Raw genomic sequence first — 20,954 nt, 5'->3', positions numbered from 1 at the left:
TGGCCGGGTGCAGTGGCTCATGCCTGTAATCCCAGCACTTTGTGAGGCCAAGGCAGGTGGATCACCTGAGGTCAGGAGTTCGAGACCAGCCTGGCCAACATGGTGAAACCACATCTCTACTAAACATCTGAAAATTAGCTGGGCATGGGGGCGGGCACCTGTAATCCCAGCTACTTGGAAGACTGAGGCAGGAGAACCACCTGAACCTGGGAGGTGGAAGTTGCAGTGAGCCTAGATTGAGCCATTGCACTCCAGCCTGGGTGACAACAGCGAAACTCCGTCTCAAAAAAAAAAAAAAAAGAAAAAAAGGATCAAATCTGATCATTTTTTTAAGAGCTTTATTGAAATAAAATTCATATACTATAAAACCCTTTTAAAGCACACAATTCAGTAATTTTTAATATATTCACAGTTCTACAACCATTGCCACTATCTAATTTTAGAACATTATTATTAAAATACCCATTAGCAATCATACCCCATTGCTCCCTCCCCCAGCCTCTGACAACCACTAATCTACTTGCTGTCTCTATGGATTTGCCTGTTCTAGACATTTCATATAAATGGAATCATACAGTATGTGGCTTTTTGTGCTTGTCTTCTTGTACTTAGCAAAATGTTTTCAAGGTTCATCCATGTTGTAGCATGTATCAATACTTCATTTCTTTTTATAGTTAAATAATATTCCATTGTATGGTATACCTTATTTTTTTTATCTACTTGATAGACATTTGGATTGTTTCCGTTTTGGGACTATTATGAGTAATGCTGCTGTGAATATTTGTGTACAGATTTTTGTGTGGACATATATTTTTAGTTCTTTTGAGTATATACTTAAGAATGAAATTGCTGGGTCATGTTGTAAGCCTATGTTTACCTTTTTGTGAAACTGCCAAACTGTTTTCCAAGGTAGCTGCACTATTTTACATCCCAACTAGCAATGAAGAAGAGTTCCCAGATGATCTTTTGACATCCCCTTCCAGTTCTTAACACAGTGCTTGTTAAATAGGAAACCCAAGAATAGATGCTAACTATTCTTACTGATACTGTCATCACTATCATTAGGGAAAGCTGATAATTACCCTGAGATACATTAACTGTATGTAAAATGAAGTTCCTGTATTATTTCCTTTACTACACTGCATCTTGCCTTTGTTATTCTCATTGATTGGTAATGGTATATATTTTAATTACATTTTATAGAGAGAGACTGTAACTGTATGTGTATAAATTTCCTCCATTTTCTTCAAGTAAACTACTCGCTCATGGATCTGAAGTCTGTAAATATTAAATACACGGACTCACATGTTTAGGGCATGCCATTTTGTCCTCCTTAGTCCTGAATTGTGTGGTAGTGGAGAGAGATCTACAGATATTGCTGTGTTGTAGCTGCAGGCTATGAGAGCAAGGGAAGATAAAGAAGGAAAATGGAAACCTGGACCTTAAACACCAGGATCACTGAGGTTAGAAGTACAGGAGGGTGTGTGTGTGTGTCCTTTTTTTTTTTTTTTTTTTTTTTGACAGTCTTGCTCTGTCACCCAGGCTGAAGTGCAGTGGTGCCATCTCGGCTTACTGCAACCTCCACCTCCCAGGCTCAAGAGACTCTGGTCCCTCAGCCTCCCGAGTAGCTGGGATTATAGGTGTGCACCACCACTCCTGGCTAATTTTTTTGTATTTTTAGTAGAGATGGGGTTTCACCAGGTTGGCCAGGCTGGTCTCAAACTCCTGGCCTTAAGCAATCCCCCCACCTCAGCCTCCCAAAGTGCTGGGATTACAGGTGTGAGCCACCGCGCCCAGCCCTAAGTGCCTACTTCCTTTTTTTTTTTTTCTTTTTGAGACGGAGTCTCACTCTGTTGCCCAGGCTGGAGTGCAATGGCACAATCTTGGCTCACTGCAACCTCCGCCTCCTAGGTTCAAGCACTTCTCCTGCCTCAGTCTCCCAAGTAGCTGGGACTACAGGTGCCCACCACTGTGCCCAGCTAATTTTTGTGTTTTTAGTAGAGACGGGGTTTCACCATGTTGGCCAGGCTGGTCTTGAACTCTTGACCTCAAGTGATCACCCACCTCGGCCTCCCAAAGTGCTGGGATTACACGCGAGAGCCACCGTGCCTGGCCGGTGCCCACTTCTTATGTGTGATCTCTCTTCCCTGTCCTCGCCTCCTGTGCTGTATTTCTTCTTCCCTACTCCCTTGTTGCCTCCCTGATGTCTTCCTATTTCCACTTTAAGGGGAAGCTCGTATAAAAGAACTTCACATGTGATTAATAATTAAAATGTTGATAATACAAAGACAACCTAGAACAAGCCATTGTTTTACACTGTGGGTTTTTTTCCCCACTGTTACATTTTTAAAATGTTTTCTTTCCTTTAATGCTCGTTAATCCAATTCATCTGACAGATGTCTACTGATAATCTAGTATGTGTCAGGCACTGTTTTAGGTACCTGTTTCTCTTCTCCATTGCCTTTTGCTCCTAACTTTTTCTATACCCTTAGTTCCTTTCCTGTCCCAAATTGGATGTCAGAGAGAGAGACAACTGAGAAAAAGAAATTGCAGTGATGGAGTGTCTATGTATATTATATTCTCTGCATATTCTAATAATCATTTCACTGATTTTCTTTGACTTCAAAATATTGTGTGCTTTGATTGAATGAATGCCTCAGAGTATGTATGGCAAGACATCCCATTTGTTTACACATTGGGTTTAAGGACTTCTTGCTGATTAGCTTACCTTTTTCCAGAATGGTAATATTGATCTATTCTTGATTTTCTAAGTCTGACAAAATGGGAAGAAAGCTCTGGCAGGAGGAGAAAGAAAGATACAGATCAGAGGAGACAGGCAGAGAGGGCCAAAATAAAAAGCTTTGCTAGAGGGAGAGCTATGCGGCAGAGAAGTTGGCTAAGGCCCCCAGGCACATAACGTATCATATACAGTATATTACTTACTGCTGCCCTCTGTGTGTCAGTTCAATAAAATAATTCAGTTACAGCTCATGGAGCAAGAAGGAACTTTAGAGATTATTTAATTTGCTTATAAAGAATGTGTCATGGAACATGCAAAGAACTCTACTTTCACCCTAATTAATACAAAAGGAGCCAATAATAGGAAAGACAAAATGGATATTTTTGCCATCTTTTATTTATTGACTGAGAATCTGTCTTCTCGAAGCAGAAATGTTCTCCAACTAGGTACACAAATGAATAGACCAGTATTTTCCCCTTTTTTTTTTCACATCATGGTATAAAAGAATGATAATTTGTAAAGTACTAGAGCAAACATACAGGGCTGCTGTCAACTTAGGTGACTGACCTGGGGTTGAAGCAATCAGTAGCTTGGGAATAAATTGTGTAAACTGCAGTATTGTAGTCATTAAATATTGAATTTTATCCTGCAATTAGAAAGCTAACACCTCATCTTGGTGACTTGATTTTAAAAAAGGAAGCTAACATGTTTTGGCATGAATAAGATAGCTGTAAATAATGGCCTGATTAACTCTGTTATCTTTTTTTTTCTCTCTTTTTCTTTTTCTTGGTCTTACTCTGTCACTCAGGCTGCTCACTGCAGCCCCGACCTCCTGGGTTTAAGCAATTCTCCTGCCTTAGCTTCCTGAGTACCTGGGTATACAGATGCATGCCACCATGCCTAGCTAATTTTTTTTTTTTATTTCATAGAGACAGGGTCTTGCTGTGTTGCACAGGCTGGTCTCAAACTCCTGGACTCAAGTGATCCTCCTTCCTCGCCCTCCCAAAGTGCTGGGATTGTAGGCGTGAGCCACTGTGCCTGGCCTCTATGGCTTATATATATAGATACATGATGTTGTGGCTGGTAGTCTAATGTATTAGGTATAGCTCCATCAGGGAAAAAGAAGTGCATATTTTAGATTATTAAATCTGGCCTCTGACTTTTAGTTTTTTATAACCACTTGGGTTTTGGAGAAAATTTGAGTGAGAATGTTGGACTCTAAGCTCTAGATCTTTGGACTCATCAAGCCTTGGATAAGAGGGTATGTGGGTCTTGAAAGTGATCTAATATGTTTTTTATAGGTATCTAACATTCTATAGTATTTTGAAAATTACACCTATATATTCATATAACACTTTAGTTCTCTGCATTTTCCCCTTTAGTTCTGAGGGAATTTTTTGGACCTATAATGAGAGATCTTCTTTTAAAATTACATTAATGTTTGGCATATATATTATATATATGTTATTTGTAAGTTATGAATATAATATTTGTAAGTTATGAATCATATAAAAAACTAACGCCCACAAACCTATCACAACTTTAGTGTTAAGTTAGTCTGTGTTAGTAAGTGCTGGGGATGGGGCAGCAACTTAAACATTCTCGTAACAAGTCCACTTCTCTTCCTAATAAGTATCCTTATATCGATACATTTCATTCCTTATTTTTAAAATGTGTAGTGTTGTGATTAAAACAAATTGAAACCAATGACAACAAATGTTGGTAAGGATGTGGAGAAACTGGATCACTCATACATTGCTGTTGAGAGTATAAAATGGTATAACTACTCTGCAAAATAGTTTGGCAGTTTCTTTAAAAACTAAACGTACCCTTTTTTTTTTTTTTTTTTTTTTTTTTTTGAGATGGAGTCCTGCTCTGTCACCCAGGCTGGAGTGCAGTGGCACAATCTCAGCTCACTGCAACCTCTGCCTCCTGGGTTCAAGTGATTCTTGTGCCTTAGCCTCCCAAGTAGCTGGGATTACAGGCACCTGCCACCACACCCAGCTAATTTTTTGTGTATTTTTAGTAGAGATGAGGTTTCACCATGTTGGCCAGGCTGGTCTCAAACTCCTGACCTCAAGTGATCTACCCGCCTAGGCCTCCCAAAGTGCTGGGATTACAGGCATGAGCCACTGCGCCTGGCCTAAACATGTAACTTTCATATGACCCAGCAATTATACTCCTGAGCATTTATTCCAGAGAAATGAAAATTTAACATAAAAACCTTCATATAAATATGCATAGTAGCTTAATTTGTAATACCCCAAAAGTGGAATCAGCTCAGATGTCCTTCAGTAGGTTAAACAAACTATGGTACGTATATAATATAGAATACTATTTAACAATACCATGCAAGGAACTGTTGATACATGTAATGTCTTAGTCTCTTCAGGCTGCTGTAACAAAGTACCATAAATTGGGCGGCTCATATAAACAACAGAAATTTATTTCTCAAAGTTTTAGAGGCTGGGAAGTTCAAGAACAAGGTACCTGCAGATTCAATGTCTGGTGAAAATCCATTTCCTGGCTCATAAAATGGTACCTTCTAGATGTGTTCCCACAGGGTGGAAGGAACAAGACAGCTTTCTGGGGCCTCTGTTATAAGAGCATTAATCCAATTAATGAGGGCTCTGCCCCCATGTTTTAGTCACCTCCCCAAAACTCACTTCCTCATACAATTACAATGGACATTAGGTTTTAACATTAATTTTGAGAGGGCCACAGACACTCAGACCATAGCATACAACAACTTGAATGAATCTCCAGGGAATTATGCTTGCCGAAAAAAAGCCAGTCTCAAAGTTTACATATTGTATGAATCCATTTATTTAACATTCTTGAAATCATAGAGATGGAGAACTGATTAACGGTTGCCAGGGAATGGGGGAGGTAATAGAGGTGGATGTGGCTATAAAAAGGCAACATGAGGGATACTAGTAGTGATGGAGTGGTTGTGTGCTTGACTGTAATAGTGGAGACATAGACCTACACATGATAAAATTGTATAAAAATAAATACATCCCCTACACCCCCCTGACAAGAGTACAAGTAAAACAGGAAGTCTGAATAAAATCAGTAGATTGTATCAATGTCAATATGGGGAAAACTGTGCAAAGGGATCTCTGTATTCTTTCTTACAGCTGCATATCATTGCACCATTATCTCAAAATAAAAAAATGCAATTTTAAGTAAAATTACTGGTTCAAATTTTTAAGAACTATAGCATATTTATTTTAATAATAATTATTTATTATTAAATTATTTATAAAGGAATGGAATCTTGGAATGGAAAGGACCTTTGAATGATGCACTCTAGTCACTGGCACTATTGTTGGTAGATGTTTGCTACAATCTCATTTTAGTAAACTAGACAGGTATTTCTGAGAGGTGCCTATTTAGCTTTTGTCTATACACTTTCCCCCTAAATTTAATGTGAATAACCTGAAGAGCTTGTAAGATGCATGTTCTCAGGCTTACTCCCTACGGATTCTGATTCAGTAGGTCTAGGGGTGGATCCTGGCAACGTACAATTAAAGAATGTTATCAGCTGACTGTGATTCAAGAGATCAGTCCATTGAATTCTGACTCAAGAGATCAACAATTATGAACAATAAATCATACTTGTTATGGTGAGTAAATAAGAACCCTTTAAATTTCTCTGTGGCATAGAGGATTTGTAGTTAGGTGAGAATTTTAATAGCAAAGTACTGATAAAATTTTCCAAACACCCACGTGTTGAAGAAAGAATGTTTGACCAAACTGAAGGTTTTACTTGCTCGGAATCAACAAGAACTTTGAACACAAAGAGCTTGCCCTAGGTTCTTAGATGGAAGGAGCCCTTCCCGTCTCTTAGCTGCCTGACCACTCGTGATTTATTTGGTACAAAGAAGGCAAAGACTCCTGCTTTAGACTGTACAAAGGGAAAGATACTAATGTGAAGAATGCCAAAGCACTTTATAAACTCTGAAAATAATCTATTCATTTAATTCCTTATGTTTTGTAAATGAGGTTCCAACTAAAGCACTTGGGCAGTCCTTTTATTCCCCCCTACACCCTGGTAGTCAAGTTACTTAAAATGATTGCTGTTATTGAAAAGCAGATACAGAGAAATTCTGTTCTACCTTTTGGGATGCCTAGGTTGCAGCTTGTTGAAATCTGAGTGACACTCTCTGCTCTACACCTAGGGCCAATAATCAGAACATCTTCGCTTGGGCTTATGTCAGAGTCCAGTCCTACTGTTTCCCCAATTCCTGGATATACATATTGAGTTGGTGAGTTGTCCTGTGAAAGCCACTCTTTCTGGGCTTGAGGCCAGGAAGCATCTCCCAACTCCTTCCTTTCCAGAGTGATCACAGGAGAACAAGTACATCTCTCCAAAGAAACCTCTGCAAATCCTCCCTCCTCTTGACCCCAGATATGACTCAGGGATGGTGAGGCATCGGAGAACCAGCCTGGACCCGTTTGGCTTTTATTGTGTGTATTTTCTGGGCACCTCATTTTGATGTACAGCTTTTATTTTATCTTTGTGCCTCATAGCACAAAGCACATAGCATTTTGTGTTTTATATAAGTTGGTATTTTGTGTAGTAAAGACACAAAAATATATATAGAATGAGACATACTGAATTTCAGGTATTCTCCTCTGCAGATGAAGGAAAAGATGGGGAATTTATGGAGAGAGGGTTTAGGTGTAGTCATAACATTTTATTTCCTCTTAGAAAAGAGTTTTAGTGTAGCAAACTGTTGACATCTGTTTACATTTAGTGGTGGGTACAGAGCTGCCTTTTATATTACTTTCCTAATTTTCTATATGGATATTTTTTCCTGAATTTGGAAATGTTTTGTAATTTAAAATTATTAATAGATGGAAAAATCGATCTAGGTTACAATACTTTTTCTGCTTTAAGTTTCTCTCTCTTAATTCTGAAAGACAGAGAAAACAGAAATCATCTGGTAGAAGCTGTCCCACCTCCCCACCCTCAGATGTGCATCCATCCTTACACTCTTCCTTCTGCTCTAGGGACAGCGGAGTTGGTGTCTCTCCTTGAGTCCAAGTCCAGCCCCTTTGTCCCCTCTTTGGATCTCTCCCTTCCAACCTCTCAGGAACCTTTGTGCTATTTAGCTGTCAACACCTCACTTTTCTGTCAACATTTAAACATGTGCTAGTTTCTCTTGGCTTTAAAAAACCTCTGCCTCAAGGCTCCTAATGCTCTATGTCTGTCCTCCCCTTCATAGTCTAACTTGTCTTAAGAGGTATCTACCTGGTTGTCTTTAATATCACACCTCCTACTCTTCAGCCTACTCCAGTCTGGCTTCTCTCCCATGAAGTTGCTCTTATCAAGGTCAACAGTGACTTCCATGTTACTAAATCCAATGGATATTTTCCAGTCTCCAACCTTTGACACCATTGACCACTCTCTTCTCAAAATCCTTTCCATGATTTCTGTGTTACAACATTCTCGTTTTCTTCTACCCTATCTGATCTTCCATGCTCTCTTTTATCAGCTTGTCTTTTTTTTACCCAACCATTAAATAGTGAAGATTCTCAGGGATCAGTCCTAAACCCTTTTCTCACTCTAATTTTTTTCCTCAGGTGATGACGACTACTCCCATGGCTTGTTACTTTCCCTGTGATTCCCAAACCTCTACCTCCAGTTCTGACCTCTGTTTTTCCTGCCATAGACCTGTACATACAGCTGCCTGCTAAATATCACTTGCATGACTCATAGACACTTCACTCTCAACATGTTCAAAACTGAACTCATCCTTCCCCAATGTTTTTGTCCTTCAGTGTTTTTGAAAATGGCACTAGAATCCATCTAGTTACTCAAGCCAGAAACTTGGGGCTCCTACTTGATTTCTTCCTCACTATCATCCACTGAGGTGGGAGGATCATTTGAACCTGGGAGGCAGAGTTTGCAGTGAACTGGGATCATGCCACTGAACTCCAGCCTGGGTGCTAGAGTAAGACCCTGTCTCAAAAAAATATATATTTTTAAAATTTTCTTATCAAGATCGAATTTACATAAAGTGAAATGCTGAGATTTTAAGTTGTACAGTTTGTTCAGCTTTGACAAATGCATTCATTAGTGTAAGCCTCATCCCTATTAAGATACAGAACAGGCTGCGCATGGTGGCTCATGCCTGTAATCCCACCACTTTGGGAGGCTGAGGCAGGAGAATCACTTGAGCCCAGGGGAGTTCAAGACAAGCCTGGGCAGCATAGCAAGACCCTGTCTCTACAAAAAAATAAAAAGTAAGCCAGGCATAGCGGGGTACACCTGTAGTCTTAGCTACTCAGGAGGATGAAGTGAGGGGATCCCTTGAGTCTAGGAGTTCAAGGTTGTAATAAGTTTTGATTGTGCCACTGTACTCCAGCCTGTGCCACAGAGCAAGACCCTGTCTCTAAAAAACTTTTTTTAATTAAAAAAAAATTAAAGCACAGAACATTTCCATCTTCCTAGAAATTTCTCTTGTGACCCTTCCCAGTCAGTCACTCTCCAAAGCAACCACTGATCTGATTCAATTTTTTAAATATTTTAATGTATTTTTAAGACAATACTGCAGAATAAAACACAAAAAGATGCTCTAAACCTTAAAAATAATTTATTGGTAGTATTCAAGTGGGGCTGTTCTAAAATATAGGACCTGTGGCATGTGATGATTAACTTTAGTTGCCCTGTTTTGTTCAACTTTAAAATTTTTACTTAGCATTATGGACTGTGCTATGGCAACATCTTCCCATCTCCTTATTATATTATTTCCCCAATTAACTTGTTTAAATCATACCTTAAGACTCCAGCAATTAAAAATATTGATTAGAAATTTTAGATTATTTTGTCATTCATTTGAATATTAAACATTTAAAGAGCCTAACTGAACCCAGACACTGACTTCTTTTGTTTATTTATAGGATAGGTGCAGTAGAGGCAGTTAAATGTGAGCTTGTTTATAATGGTCCACAATGGATTCAGTTCTAATTCAGAGGTACAATCTTTAAAGATAAGAGGTAATTTAGGCTCTCATACAAGTAGCTCAGCCCTTTCATTTACAGGTAGGCTGGTTTTAGGTCCATAGATTCTCTACGGAATTCCATGGCATCGTGAAAAGAGCAAGAGTACTAGGTATTACACTTACCTGGGAGAAACAAACACTACCAGGCCCCACATACTGTGCCTTTTTTTCACTCATCTGCATGCTTTTTTGACTGTGCATCTCTACTGGGAAATTTTTTGAGTATATCCCCCAATGTAGGTATCATTGTATTCATATTATATACATTATCATACTTATATAAATAGGAATTTTAAAATATATATTTTGTCCATGATTAAATTTTATATCTGCATTTTATTGATGAAGACACTAAAACTCAAAGAAGCTTAATAACTTACTCAAGTTCACGTAACTTACTAGTTGGATGATAAGTTGACAAATTCCAAACCATTTTGGGGCCTCATTTATAAAGTTATTCCAACTATGTTATCTTCAAGGCCTCTTCTAGCCCTTAACAACTTGTGCTTCTATGCTAGCTAACACTCATCTGTCTAAGACTTAGTCTCTGATTTAATATTTCTTTGCAGATATGGCCCTATTATCCATATATTAATGGCTAGTAATGTTAGGAAATAGTGGGTGGAAGAAGAGAAACTTACATTTAAAACAGTATCAAGCTAGCTTGTTCTTTGGTATAATTTTTTAAATCCTTCACAGAAATAGAAAAAAAATCCTAAAATTTATGTGGAACCACAGAAGACCCAGAATAGCCAAAGTCATCCTGAGCAAAAAGAACAAAACTAAAGGAATGACATTACTTGACTTAGAATTATACTACAGAGCTATTATAACCAAAACAGCATGGCACTGACATAAAAACAAGCACAGAGACCAAGGGAACAGGATAGAGAACCCAGAAATAAATATATACATCTACAGTGAACTCGTTTTTGACAAAGGTGCCAAGAATATACATTGGGGAAAGGACAGTGTCTTCAATAAATGGTCCTGAGAAAACTGGATATCCTTATGCAGAAGAATTAAACTAGACCCCTATCTCTCAACAAAAACAAAAATCAAATCAAAATGGATTAAAGACTTAAATCTAATACCTGAAATTATGAAACTACTACCAGAAAACACTGGGGAAATTCTCCAGGAAATTGGTCTGGGCAAAGATTTATTGATTAATACCCTAAAGTACAGGCAACCAAAGTGAAAATGGACAAATGGAATCACGTCAAGTTAAAAAGCTTCTGCACACCAATGGAAACAATCAACCAAGTGAAGAGACAACCCACAGAATGGGAGAAAATATTTGCAAACTACCCATCTGACAAAGGGATTAATAACCAGGATATATAAGGAACTTAATAGGGAAAAAATCTAATAATCTGATTTTAAAATGGGCAAAAGATCTGAATAATGTTTCTTAGAAGAAAACATACAAATGGCAATCAGGTATATGAAAAGGTACTTAACATTGCTGATCATCAGAGAAATGTATCTCACTCTAGTTAAAATGGCTTCTATCCAAAAGACAGGCAATAACAAATGCTGGCAAGGATGTAGATAAAAAGGAACCCTTGTATGTTTTTGATGGGAATGTAGGTTAGTACAGCCATTATAGAGAATGGCATGGTTGTTCCTCAGAAAACTAAAAATAGATCTACCATATGATCTGGCAATCCCACTGCTAGGTATACACCCAAAAGAAAGGAATTAAGTATATAAAATAGGTTTCTGCATTCCCATTAGATTGTAGCACTATTCACAATAGCTAAGATTTGGAAGCAACCTAAGTGTCCATCAGCAGATGAACAGATAAAGAAAATGTGGTACATATACACAATGGAGTACTATTCAGCCATAGGAAAAAAATGAGATCCTGTCATTTACAACAACATGGATGGAACTGGAGGTCATTATGTTAAGTGAAATAAACCAGGCATAGAAAGACAAACTTCACATGTTCTCACTTATTTGTGAGAGCTAAAAATTAAAACAATCGAACTTGTAAAGAGTAAAATGATGGCTATTAGAGACTGGGAAAGGTAGTGGGGTGGACGGGAAGTGGGGATAGTTAATGGGTATGAAAATATAGTTAGAATGAATAAGATCTAGTATTTGTTAGCACAACAGTAATTATAGTCAACAGTAATTTATTGTACATTTAAAAATAACTAAAAAGGTATAATTGGAATGTTCATAACATAAAGAAAAAATAAATGCTTGAGTTGATGGATACCCCATTTACCCTCAGTTGATTATTATTCATTGCATGCCTGTACAAAATCTCGTGTACCTCATAAATATATACACCTATAATGTACCGACAAAAATTAAAAAATTAAGAAAAATTCCATTGCCATCTTTTGCTTATAGGTATATGCTGTGTATTTAAGAGATTTATAGCAACATTCACTTAAAACATAATTTACCAGATACCTATTACCCTAAACACCATAGGTAATTCTATCAGTATATTTTCATGAGGATCTTTGGGTAATTATTTTTCAGCATTTTCCCATATGGCAAGGTGAAGCCTATTATTTTTCTAGGTACTTGTGTTGCTGTAAGTAACCACCAGTATGGAAGGTGCCTCAATTCCCTGCAATGCCACAGCAAAAACACTTTTATTTAGAAATAGTCTCAGTGCAATTTCTTTGTAAGTCAGCTGTTTCCTTCTAAGTAAAAATTGCTTTGATCAAAAGATCTGTCATTTGTCTCTGAAACATTTTCTATAAGTTTTGTTTTGGTTTCAGCCTTCTTTGGAATTTAAGAGAGAAATGAGAAGACAATTTTGGATTAACACCTGTCTGAGAAATTCCAAAATTAGAAATGGCCATCTGGTTTACATGTTTTGCAAAATAGGGTTTTACCATTCCAAAGAGATTTTTAGGCTCTTCTAAAAACTGCTGCAGCTATCAACATTTTACTATCAAACTGAAAACAGAATAGTTAAATAGGTGTTGGTGATGTTCATTCTAAGAAGGAAAGCTACAGTAACAACCTTTCTCTGTTCTCTGAGACACTTAGATGGGCAGTTTAAGGCCATATTTCTCATTGCCTGGGCCCACATAACCTGACGGCCTATCTTAGATTTCACTGTTATAATTATTTTAGGTCAAGCCCAAAGAATTCAAACTTGGTAGCTCTTACGATACCTGAATTTGACCTAGGTCATCCCTATGTTGAGGGTTCTTTAGATTTTGACTAGCTCTCCTGCCTCCTATAATCACTTTGACATACATTTCCTAGATAAATTCCTGAAATTCTGCATTTTAGAAGTTCTGAGTTGGTCATTCACCAGCTCTTATCAGTGCCTCACAGGTCTAAGTATAACTGGACTTTTACCAGAGTTAGTACTTAATATTAAGAGAGCATATTTTCAAAAGTGTCAAGGCCACTGTCAAGGAAATGAAACTAAAACTGTAATTGCCTATAGAATTGGATGCTGGAGAAGGTAAAATGCAGTGAATGCTAATTGTTACAAGCATTTTAGAAAGCAGTGTAACATTAGCCTGGGGATAGTGGTTCACCCCTGTAATCCCAGCACTTTGGGAGGCCAAGGTGGGAGGATTTCTTGAGCCCAGGAGTTCAAGACCCACCTGGTCAACATGGCAAAACCCTGTTTCTACAAAAAATACAAAAATTAGCCTGGAGTGGTGGTGTGTGCCTGTAGTCCCAGCTACTTGTGAGGCTGAGGTGGGAGGATCACCTGAGGTCCTGGGAGGTCAAGACTGCAGTAAGCCACTGCATTCCAGCCTGGGCAATAGAGTGAGATCCTGTTTCAAAAAATAAATAAAAAGAAAGCAGTGTAACATTATGTTTCAGAAATTTTTAAAACTGCAATGCATACCCTTTGACCTAAGAATTTTACTTACTGAATGTCTCTCCTGAGGAAATAATAAAACACTCAGGCACGCTCCAAGTGACATCAGCAAGATGGCCGACTAGAAGCCCCTCGTGGTCATCATCCTCACAAAGAACCAAAACAATAGCTAAACCACATTTTAATGAAAATAACTGAAGGAGGGTACTGGAGTACATTGGAGAAATCAAAGAAACAGGTGAGCACAGGAACTTGGTAGGGCCACATAGAGAACGGAAGGCAACATCATCCTCCACCACCCCACCCCCTAATCAGGATCAGCTGGAAACCAGGGGAAATTTCTCCCTGCAGTGAGGAGGTAAGCAAGAAGATCTTAGCAACCCCTATCAACACCTTGGCCAACTATAGTCCTCACCATTAGGGTCCCCTGCAGTTTTCACAGACACTAAGGCCAGCTGAGGGAGCCACCTAGAGTCCACATAGCTATGGTCTCCCTATAGATGAAGAAGTAGACACTGTGCTCCACTCCTTGTGGGCCTCATGGCTACTGCACTATGCCATCTTGGAGCCGGTACTGTGTCTGGAGTGTGTCTTCCTCCATGGGTGAGTAGCCACAGCTCCCCTTCATCCCTGAGGCTGAGCCACTGCTGAACTACCCCAGCCCAGTGGCCACACATCCCCAAGCCAAGCTGTGTTTAGCTTTTACACTCTTCCCTGTGGGGACAAGTGGAGGTGGAGCTACTCCACCTACCCCTTACCCTGCCCTTTGGGCCAGAGCTGAAGTAGTAACCTGTCTCTTGGGAAAACAGTACTTAGGCTGCTCAGGCCTCCCCAGTGCCTAAGTTGAAGCAGCACTCTGCATCCCAGAAAACAATGCCTTGGCTGCCCAGAGTGGTCACACACCTCGGTACCTAAGGTGAAGTGGCATCCTGCATCCCAGGGAAATGGTGCCTGGGCTTCCAAGAACATTCACACACTGCCCTCCCGCGTCCCCCACCAGCCAATCTGAGCTGAAGTGGCACTTCACCCCCTAGGTAATCAGTACACTGGCTAAGCTGAGCAGCTGTGCATCCCAGGGCTGAGCTGATGTAATATCCTGTGTCCTAGGGAAACAGAGCAGTGGCTGAGCTGAGACATCCCACCTTATAAGCCAGACAACTTTAGTACCCTGCTTCCCTGGAACTGGACTAGCTCCCTAGAGTCTGAGCTGCTGACACCCCTCTCCTTGGGGTATATAGTCATTGCTGTGCATTCCCTGCCTCCCAGGGCCCAAACAACAGCTGTGTTCCATTATTCTGGGATATTTGCTGCCACTGCACCTGGCATCACAGAATCTGAGTTACTTCCAAGTCCCACCATCTCAGGGTATACAGTCACTACTACACAGTGCCTCATCCACTGGGACCTGAGTTGTTACTGAGCCGTATTGGCTCAGGTTTCCAAGTTGCAGCCATACCCTGCTCCTGAACCCCAAATCTCCAAAGCACCCCTTCCTCCCCAGAGTGGTTCAGTGCTATACTGTGACCCCTAGGGGTACAATCACAGCTGCAGCCTAGCTCCGTGGGCCCAAGCTGCTAGGGAGTACTTCACAATCACAGATCCTAGCTCAGTAGGCAGCCTACATCCAACCTGCCACAGAAAATGAACCTGTGCCCCAAGACCCAGCTGCTACAATAGGTTGGCAAAACCCTGCACCTAGGACCCTGGCCTCACAGCTGCTCTGAACACCTGCTCCCAGAACCCAGCACTGCTACATCTGCTTGTAGGCCATGTCAGACCTGACACAAAAAAGGATCCCCTCAGCTAAGTCTCCCCATTCTGGGGAAAATAAGAATAGAAGGACCCCAAAGGCCCTTGATACTGAGGACATTAACAATGTATGCTGCCACCCTGCCACAACCACAGATTTCTATAGCCTATGCCATTGAGGTGTCTGCAGTTATTGCTAACATTGAACACAGCTGAAGAAGCTACACAGAGACTGTACCACTACACTTACCTGGACAGAGTCATTGTACTCTTCCTAATCAGCACACTAAGTTCCAACTATAGGTGAAAGTTTTTCTCTATGAAAACCACTTTAGAAAGTTTTCAAGAGGCAGTTGTTGCTCCAGCTGCACAAACATCAACACATGGACATAAAAAAAAAAACATGAAAAAGCAAGGAAAGCTGAAGAAAAGCAAGGAAAGCCAGTTTTACCAAGCCAGGATCTGTATGATATACCTTTTAGCAGCTTGGGTCCACAGGGCTAGGTTGTAGCTATAATTCTACCCTAGGGGGCAGGGCACAACACTGGCCACACTCTAGGGAGGAAGGGGTGCTCTGAAGATTTGGGCCTCAGGAGTAGGGTAGGGCTGCAATTTGGAAACCTGACACTGCCAAAGGAACATAACTCTCTAGTGACAGACCCCAATGAAAAGGAAATCAGTGAATTTCTAGAAAAGGAATTTCAAAATAATGATCTTAGGGAAACTCATTGAGATACAATACAAGAAAATACAGATAGACAATGAAATCAGGAAAACAATTCATGATATGACCAAGAAATTCAACAAAGAGATAGAATCATAAACAAGAACCAAACAGAAAATTTGCAGCTGAAGAAGTCAATGAATGAAATAAATATGTTAGAGAGTTTCAACACCAGTCTTGATCAAGCAGAAGAATCTCTGGATTTGAGGGCAGATCATTTGAAATTACCCAGTCAGGGGGAAAAAAAAGTAAGAATGAAAAACAGTGAAGAAAGCCTGCAAGACTTATGGGACACCATTAAGTGAACAAATATTTGTCTTATGGGAGTTCAGAAAGAGAAAAGAAGGGAAAAGGTGTAGAAAACCTACTTGATGAAATAATAGCTGAAAACTTCCCAAGACTGAGGAGAGGTATAGACATCCAGATCAAGGAAGCTCAAAGATTCAACCCAAAATGATCCTTCCTGAGGCACATTACAGTCAAATTGTCAAAAGTCAAAAACAAAGAATTCTAAAAACTCCAAGAGAAAAGTGTCAAGTCACATATAAGTGAACCCTCATTAGACTAACAGCAGATTTCTCTGCAGAAACCTTACAGGCCAGGAGAGAATGGGATGTGCTGAAAGAAAAAAAAAATAGCCAGCCAGGAATACCACACCCAGCAAAGCTATCCTTCAGAAATGAGGGAGAAATAAAGTGTTTCCCAGATAAGCAAAAATAAAGGGAATTCAACACCACTAGACCAGCCTTACAAGAAATACTTAAGGAAGTCTTATCTCTGGAAGTGAAAAGATAATCATCACTATGATGAACACTCAAAAGTAAAAAACTTGTAGAGCACGTTCATGAAGGAGAACAAGAAAAGAATCAAACCATAGCACTACAAAATACCACCAAATGACAATGATAAACATTAAGAGAGGAAAAAAGGAAAAGGAACAAAGGATATACAAAACAAGCAGAAAACAATTAATAAAATGAAGAAGCGAGTTTTCCCCTATCAATAATAAGCTTTAAGAGAAATAGATTAAATCCCCCACTTAAAAAGTATAGACTGGCTGAATGGATGAAAAAGTCATTACCAGCTATATGCTGCCTACAAGAAACTCACTTCAATTGTAAAGACACATATAGACTGAAAGTGAAGGGATGGAAAATGATATTTCACACAAATGGAACCTAAAAGTGAGCAGAAGTAGCTATGCTTATGTCAGATAAAACAGACTTTAAGTCAAAAACTATACAAAGAGGCAAAGAAGGTCATTACATAATGTTAAAGGGATCAATTCAGCCAGAGGATATAACAATTATAAATATATATGAACCCAACACTGTAGTACTCAGATATATATAAAGCATATCTTATTTGATCTAAATGGAGAGATAGAGTCTGATACAATAAAAGTTGGGGGTTTCAGCACTCCACACTCAGCATTTGGATAGATCATCTAGACAGAAAATCAACAACAGAAATGAATATAAAGTACATTTTAGGCCAAGTGCAATTGCTCATGCCTGTAATCCCAACACTTTGAGAGGCTGACATGGGAGGATATTTGAATCCAGGAGTTTGAGGTTAGCCTGGGCAACATAGGGTGACCCCCGTCTATACAAAAACATTAAAAAGCAAAATAGCCAGGCATGGTGGCACATGTCTGTGGTCGCAGCTACTCGGGAAGGTGAAGTGGGAGGGTTGCTTGAGCCCAGGAGGTCAAGGCTGCAGTGAGCCATGATTGTGCCAGTGCACTCCAGCCTGGGTGACAGAGTGAGACCCTATCTCTAAATAAGACAGACTCATACCTGTAATCCCAGCACTTTGGGAAGTCAAGGCAGAAGGATCACTTGAAGCCAAGAGTTTGAAACCAGCCTGGGCAACAAAACAAGACCTCATCTCTACAAAAACCGTAAACAAATAAAAATTAGCAAGGTATGGTGGTTCACACCTATAGTCCCAGCTACTCAGGAGGCTGAGATCAGAGAATCCCTTGAGCCCAGTAGTTCAAGGCTGCAGTGACTATGTTCATACCACCGCACTCTATCCTGGATGACAAGGTGATATGTTTTGTGATATGGTTTGAATGTTTGTCCCCTCCAAATCTCATGTTGAAATGTAATCCCCATTATTGGAGATGGGGTCTGGTGGGAGGTGTTTGGATCATGGGGGTGGATCTCTCATGAATGGCTTAGCACCATCCCCTTGGTGATGAGTGGGTTATTGCTCTGAGTTCATGTGAGATCTGGTTGTTTAAAAGTGTGTAGCACTTCCCCCTTCCCCCGTTGCTCTCTTCACCATGTGACAGGCTGGCTCCCTGTCACTTTCACCATGACTGTAAGTTGCTGAAGGCCCTCATCAGAAGCTGAGCAGATGTTGGCACCATGCTTCTTGTACCTTGTACAGCCTGCAGAACCATGAGCCAATTAAACCTCTTGTTTTTTTTGTTTGTTTGTTTTTTGTTTTTTTTGAGATGGAGTCTCGCTCTGTTGCCCAGGCTAGAGTGCAGTGACACAATCTTGACCCACTTCAACCTCCATCTCCCAGATTCAAGCAATTCTTCTGCCTCAGCCTCCCAAGTAGCTGAGACTATAGGTGCACGCCACCACGCATGGCTAATTTTTGTATTTTTAGTAGAGATAAGGTTTCACCACATTAGCCAGGCTGGTCTTGAACTCCTGACCTCAAGCGATCCACCTGCTTTGGCATCCCAAAGTGTAATCCTTTTTTTTGTTTTTATACATTATCTAGCCTCAGGTATTCCTTTATAGTGACACAAAACAAATTAATACACCTTGTCTCTTTAAAAAAAAAAAAAGGAACTTCTGATATGTTACAAACAGGAAATTAAACAGCATGCTCCTGAGTGACCAATGGGTCAATGAAGAAATGAAAAAGGAAATTTTTTTTTTATTATACTTTAAGTTTTAGGGTACATGTGCACAACGTGCAGGTTTGTTACATATGTATACATGTGCCACGTTGGTGTGCTGCACCCATTAACTCGTCATTTAACATTAGGTATATCTCCTAATGCTATCCCTCCCCCCTCCGCCCACCCCACAACAGGCCCCGGTGTGTGATGTTCCCCTTCCTGTGTCCATGTGTTCTCATTGTTCAATTCCCACCTATGAGTGTGAACATGCGGTGTTTGTTTTTTTTGTCCTTGCGATAGTTTGCTGAGAATGATGGTTTCCAGCTTCATCCATGTCCCTACAAAGGACATGAACTCATCCTTTTTTATGGCTGCATAGTATTCCATGGTGTATATGTGCCACATTTTCTTAATCCAGTCTATCACTGATGGACATTTGGGTTGGTTCCAAGTCTTTGCTATTGTGAATAGTGCCACAGTAAACATACATATGCATGTGTCTTTATAGCAGCATGATTTATAATCCTTTGGGTATATACCCAGTAATGGGATGGCTGGGTCAAATGTTATTTCTAGTTCTAGATCCCTGAGGAATCGCCACACTGACTTCCACAATGGTTGAACTAGTTTACAGTCCCACCAACAGTGTAAAAGTGTTCCTATTTCTCCACATCCTCTCCAGCACCTGTTGTTTCCTGACTTTTTAATGATCACCATTCTAACTGGTGTGAGATGGTATCTCACTGTGGTTTTGATTTGCATTTCTCTGATGGCCAGTGATGATGAGCATTTTTTCATGTGTCTTTTGGCTGCATAAATGTCTTCTTTTGAGAAGTGTCTGTTCATATCCTTCACCCACTTTTTGATGGGGTTGTTTGTTTTTTTCTTGTAAATTTGTTTGAGTTCATTGTAGATTCTGGATATTAGCCCTTGGTCAGATGAGTAGATTGCAAAAATTTTCTCCCATTCTGTAGGTTGCCTGTTCACTCTGATGGTAGTTTCTTTGCTGTGCAGAAGCTCTTTAGTTTAATTAGATCCCATTTGTCAATTTTGGCTTTTGTTGCCATTGCTTTTGGTGTTTTAGACACGAAGTCCTTGCCCATGCCTATGTCCTGAATGGTATTGCCTAGGTTTTCTTCTAGGGTTTTTATGGTTTTAGGTCTAACATTTAAGTCTTTAATCCATCTTGAATTAATTTTTGTATAAGGTGTAAGGAAGGGATCCAGTTTCAGCTTTCTATATATGGCTAGCCAGTTTTTCCAGCACCATTTATTAAATAGGGAATCCTTTCCCCATTTCTTGTTTTTGTCAGGTTTGTCAAAGATCAGATAGTTGTAGATATGTGGCATTATTTCTGAGGGCTCTGTTCTGTTCCATTGGTCTACATCTCTGTTTTGGTACCAGTACCATGCTATTTTGGTTACTGTAGCCTTGTAGTATAGTTTGAAGTCAGGTAGTGAGATGCCTCCAGCTTTGTTCTTTTGGCTTAGGATTGACTTGGCAATGCGGGCTCTTTTTTGGTTCCATATGAACTTTAAAGTAGTTTTTTCCAATTCTGTGAAGAAAGTCATTGGTAGCTTGATGGGGATGGCATTGAATCTATAAATTACTTTGGGCAGTATGGCCATTTTTACGATATTGATTCTTCCTACCCATGAGCATGGAATGTTCTTCCATTTGTTTGTATCCTCTTTTATTTCCTTGAGCAGTGGTTTGTAATTCTCCTTGAAGAGGTCCTTCACATCCCTTGTAAGCTGGATTCCTAGGTATTTTATTCTCTTTGAAGCAATTGTGAATGGGAATTCACTGATGATTTGGCTCTCTGTTTGTCTGTTATTGGTGTATAAGAATGCTTGTTATTTTTGCACATTGATTTTGTATCCTGAGACTTTGCTGAAGTTGCTTATCAGCTTAAGGAGATTTTGGGCTGAGACGATGGGGTTTTCTAGATATACAATCATGTCATCTGCAAACAGGGACAATTTGACTTCCTCATTTCCTAATCGAATACCCTTTATTTCCTTCTCCTGCCTGATTGCCCTGGC

At 39.7% G+C, this 20,954-nt stretch overlaps 1 protein-coding gene across 4 annotated transcripts in view, besides 1 other annotated feature; it reads left to right on the top strand.

The window, feature by feature from the left end:
• DIPK1A (divergent protein kinase domain 1A) overlaps window positions 1-20,954 on the top strand; it is a 128,734-nt gene that overhangs the window by 44,860 nt on the left and 62,920 nt on the right. The window lies entirely within an intron of this gene.
• Window positions 13,740-14,239: an enhancer, noted in NCBI's record as "H3K27ac hESC enhancer chr1:93367921-93368420 (GRCh37/hg19 assembly coordinates)". NCBI's record gives its function as "activates a minimal SCP1, AML or CMV promoter by ChIP-STARR-seq in naive H9 embryonic stem cells {active_cell/tissue: H9 hESC(naive)}" and the evidence as "EXISTENCE:reporter gene assay evidence [ECO:0000049][PMID:30033119]".

Source organism: Homo sapiens, chromosome 1 (assembly GCF_000001405.40).
Source record: "Homo sapiens chromosome 1, GRCh38.p14 Primary Assembly".
In the NCBI taxonomy this organism is placed as follows: domain Eukaryota; kingdom Metazoa; phylum Chordata; class Mammalia; order Primates; family Hominidae; genus Homo; species Homo sapiens.
Note: the sequence above shows the minus strand (reverse complement) of the source record. Positions and strands in the feature narration are given on the sequence as shown.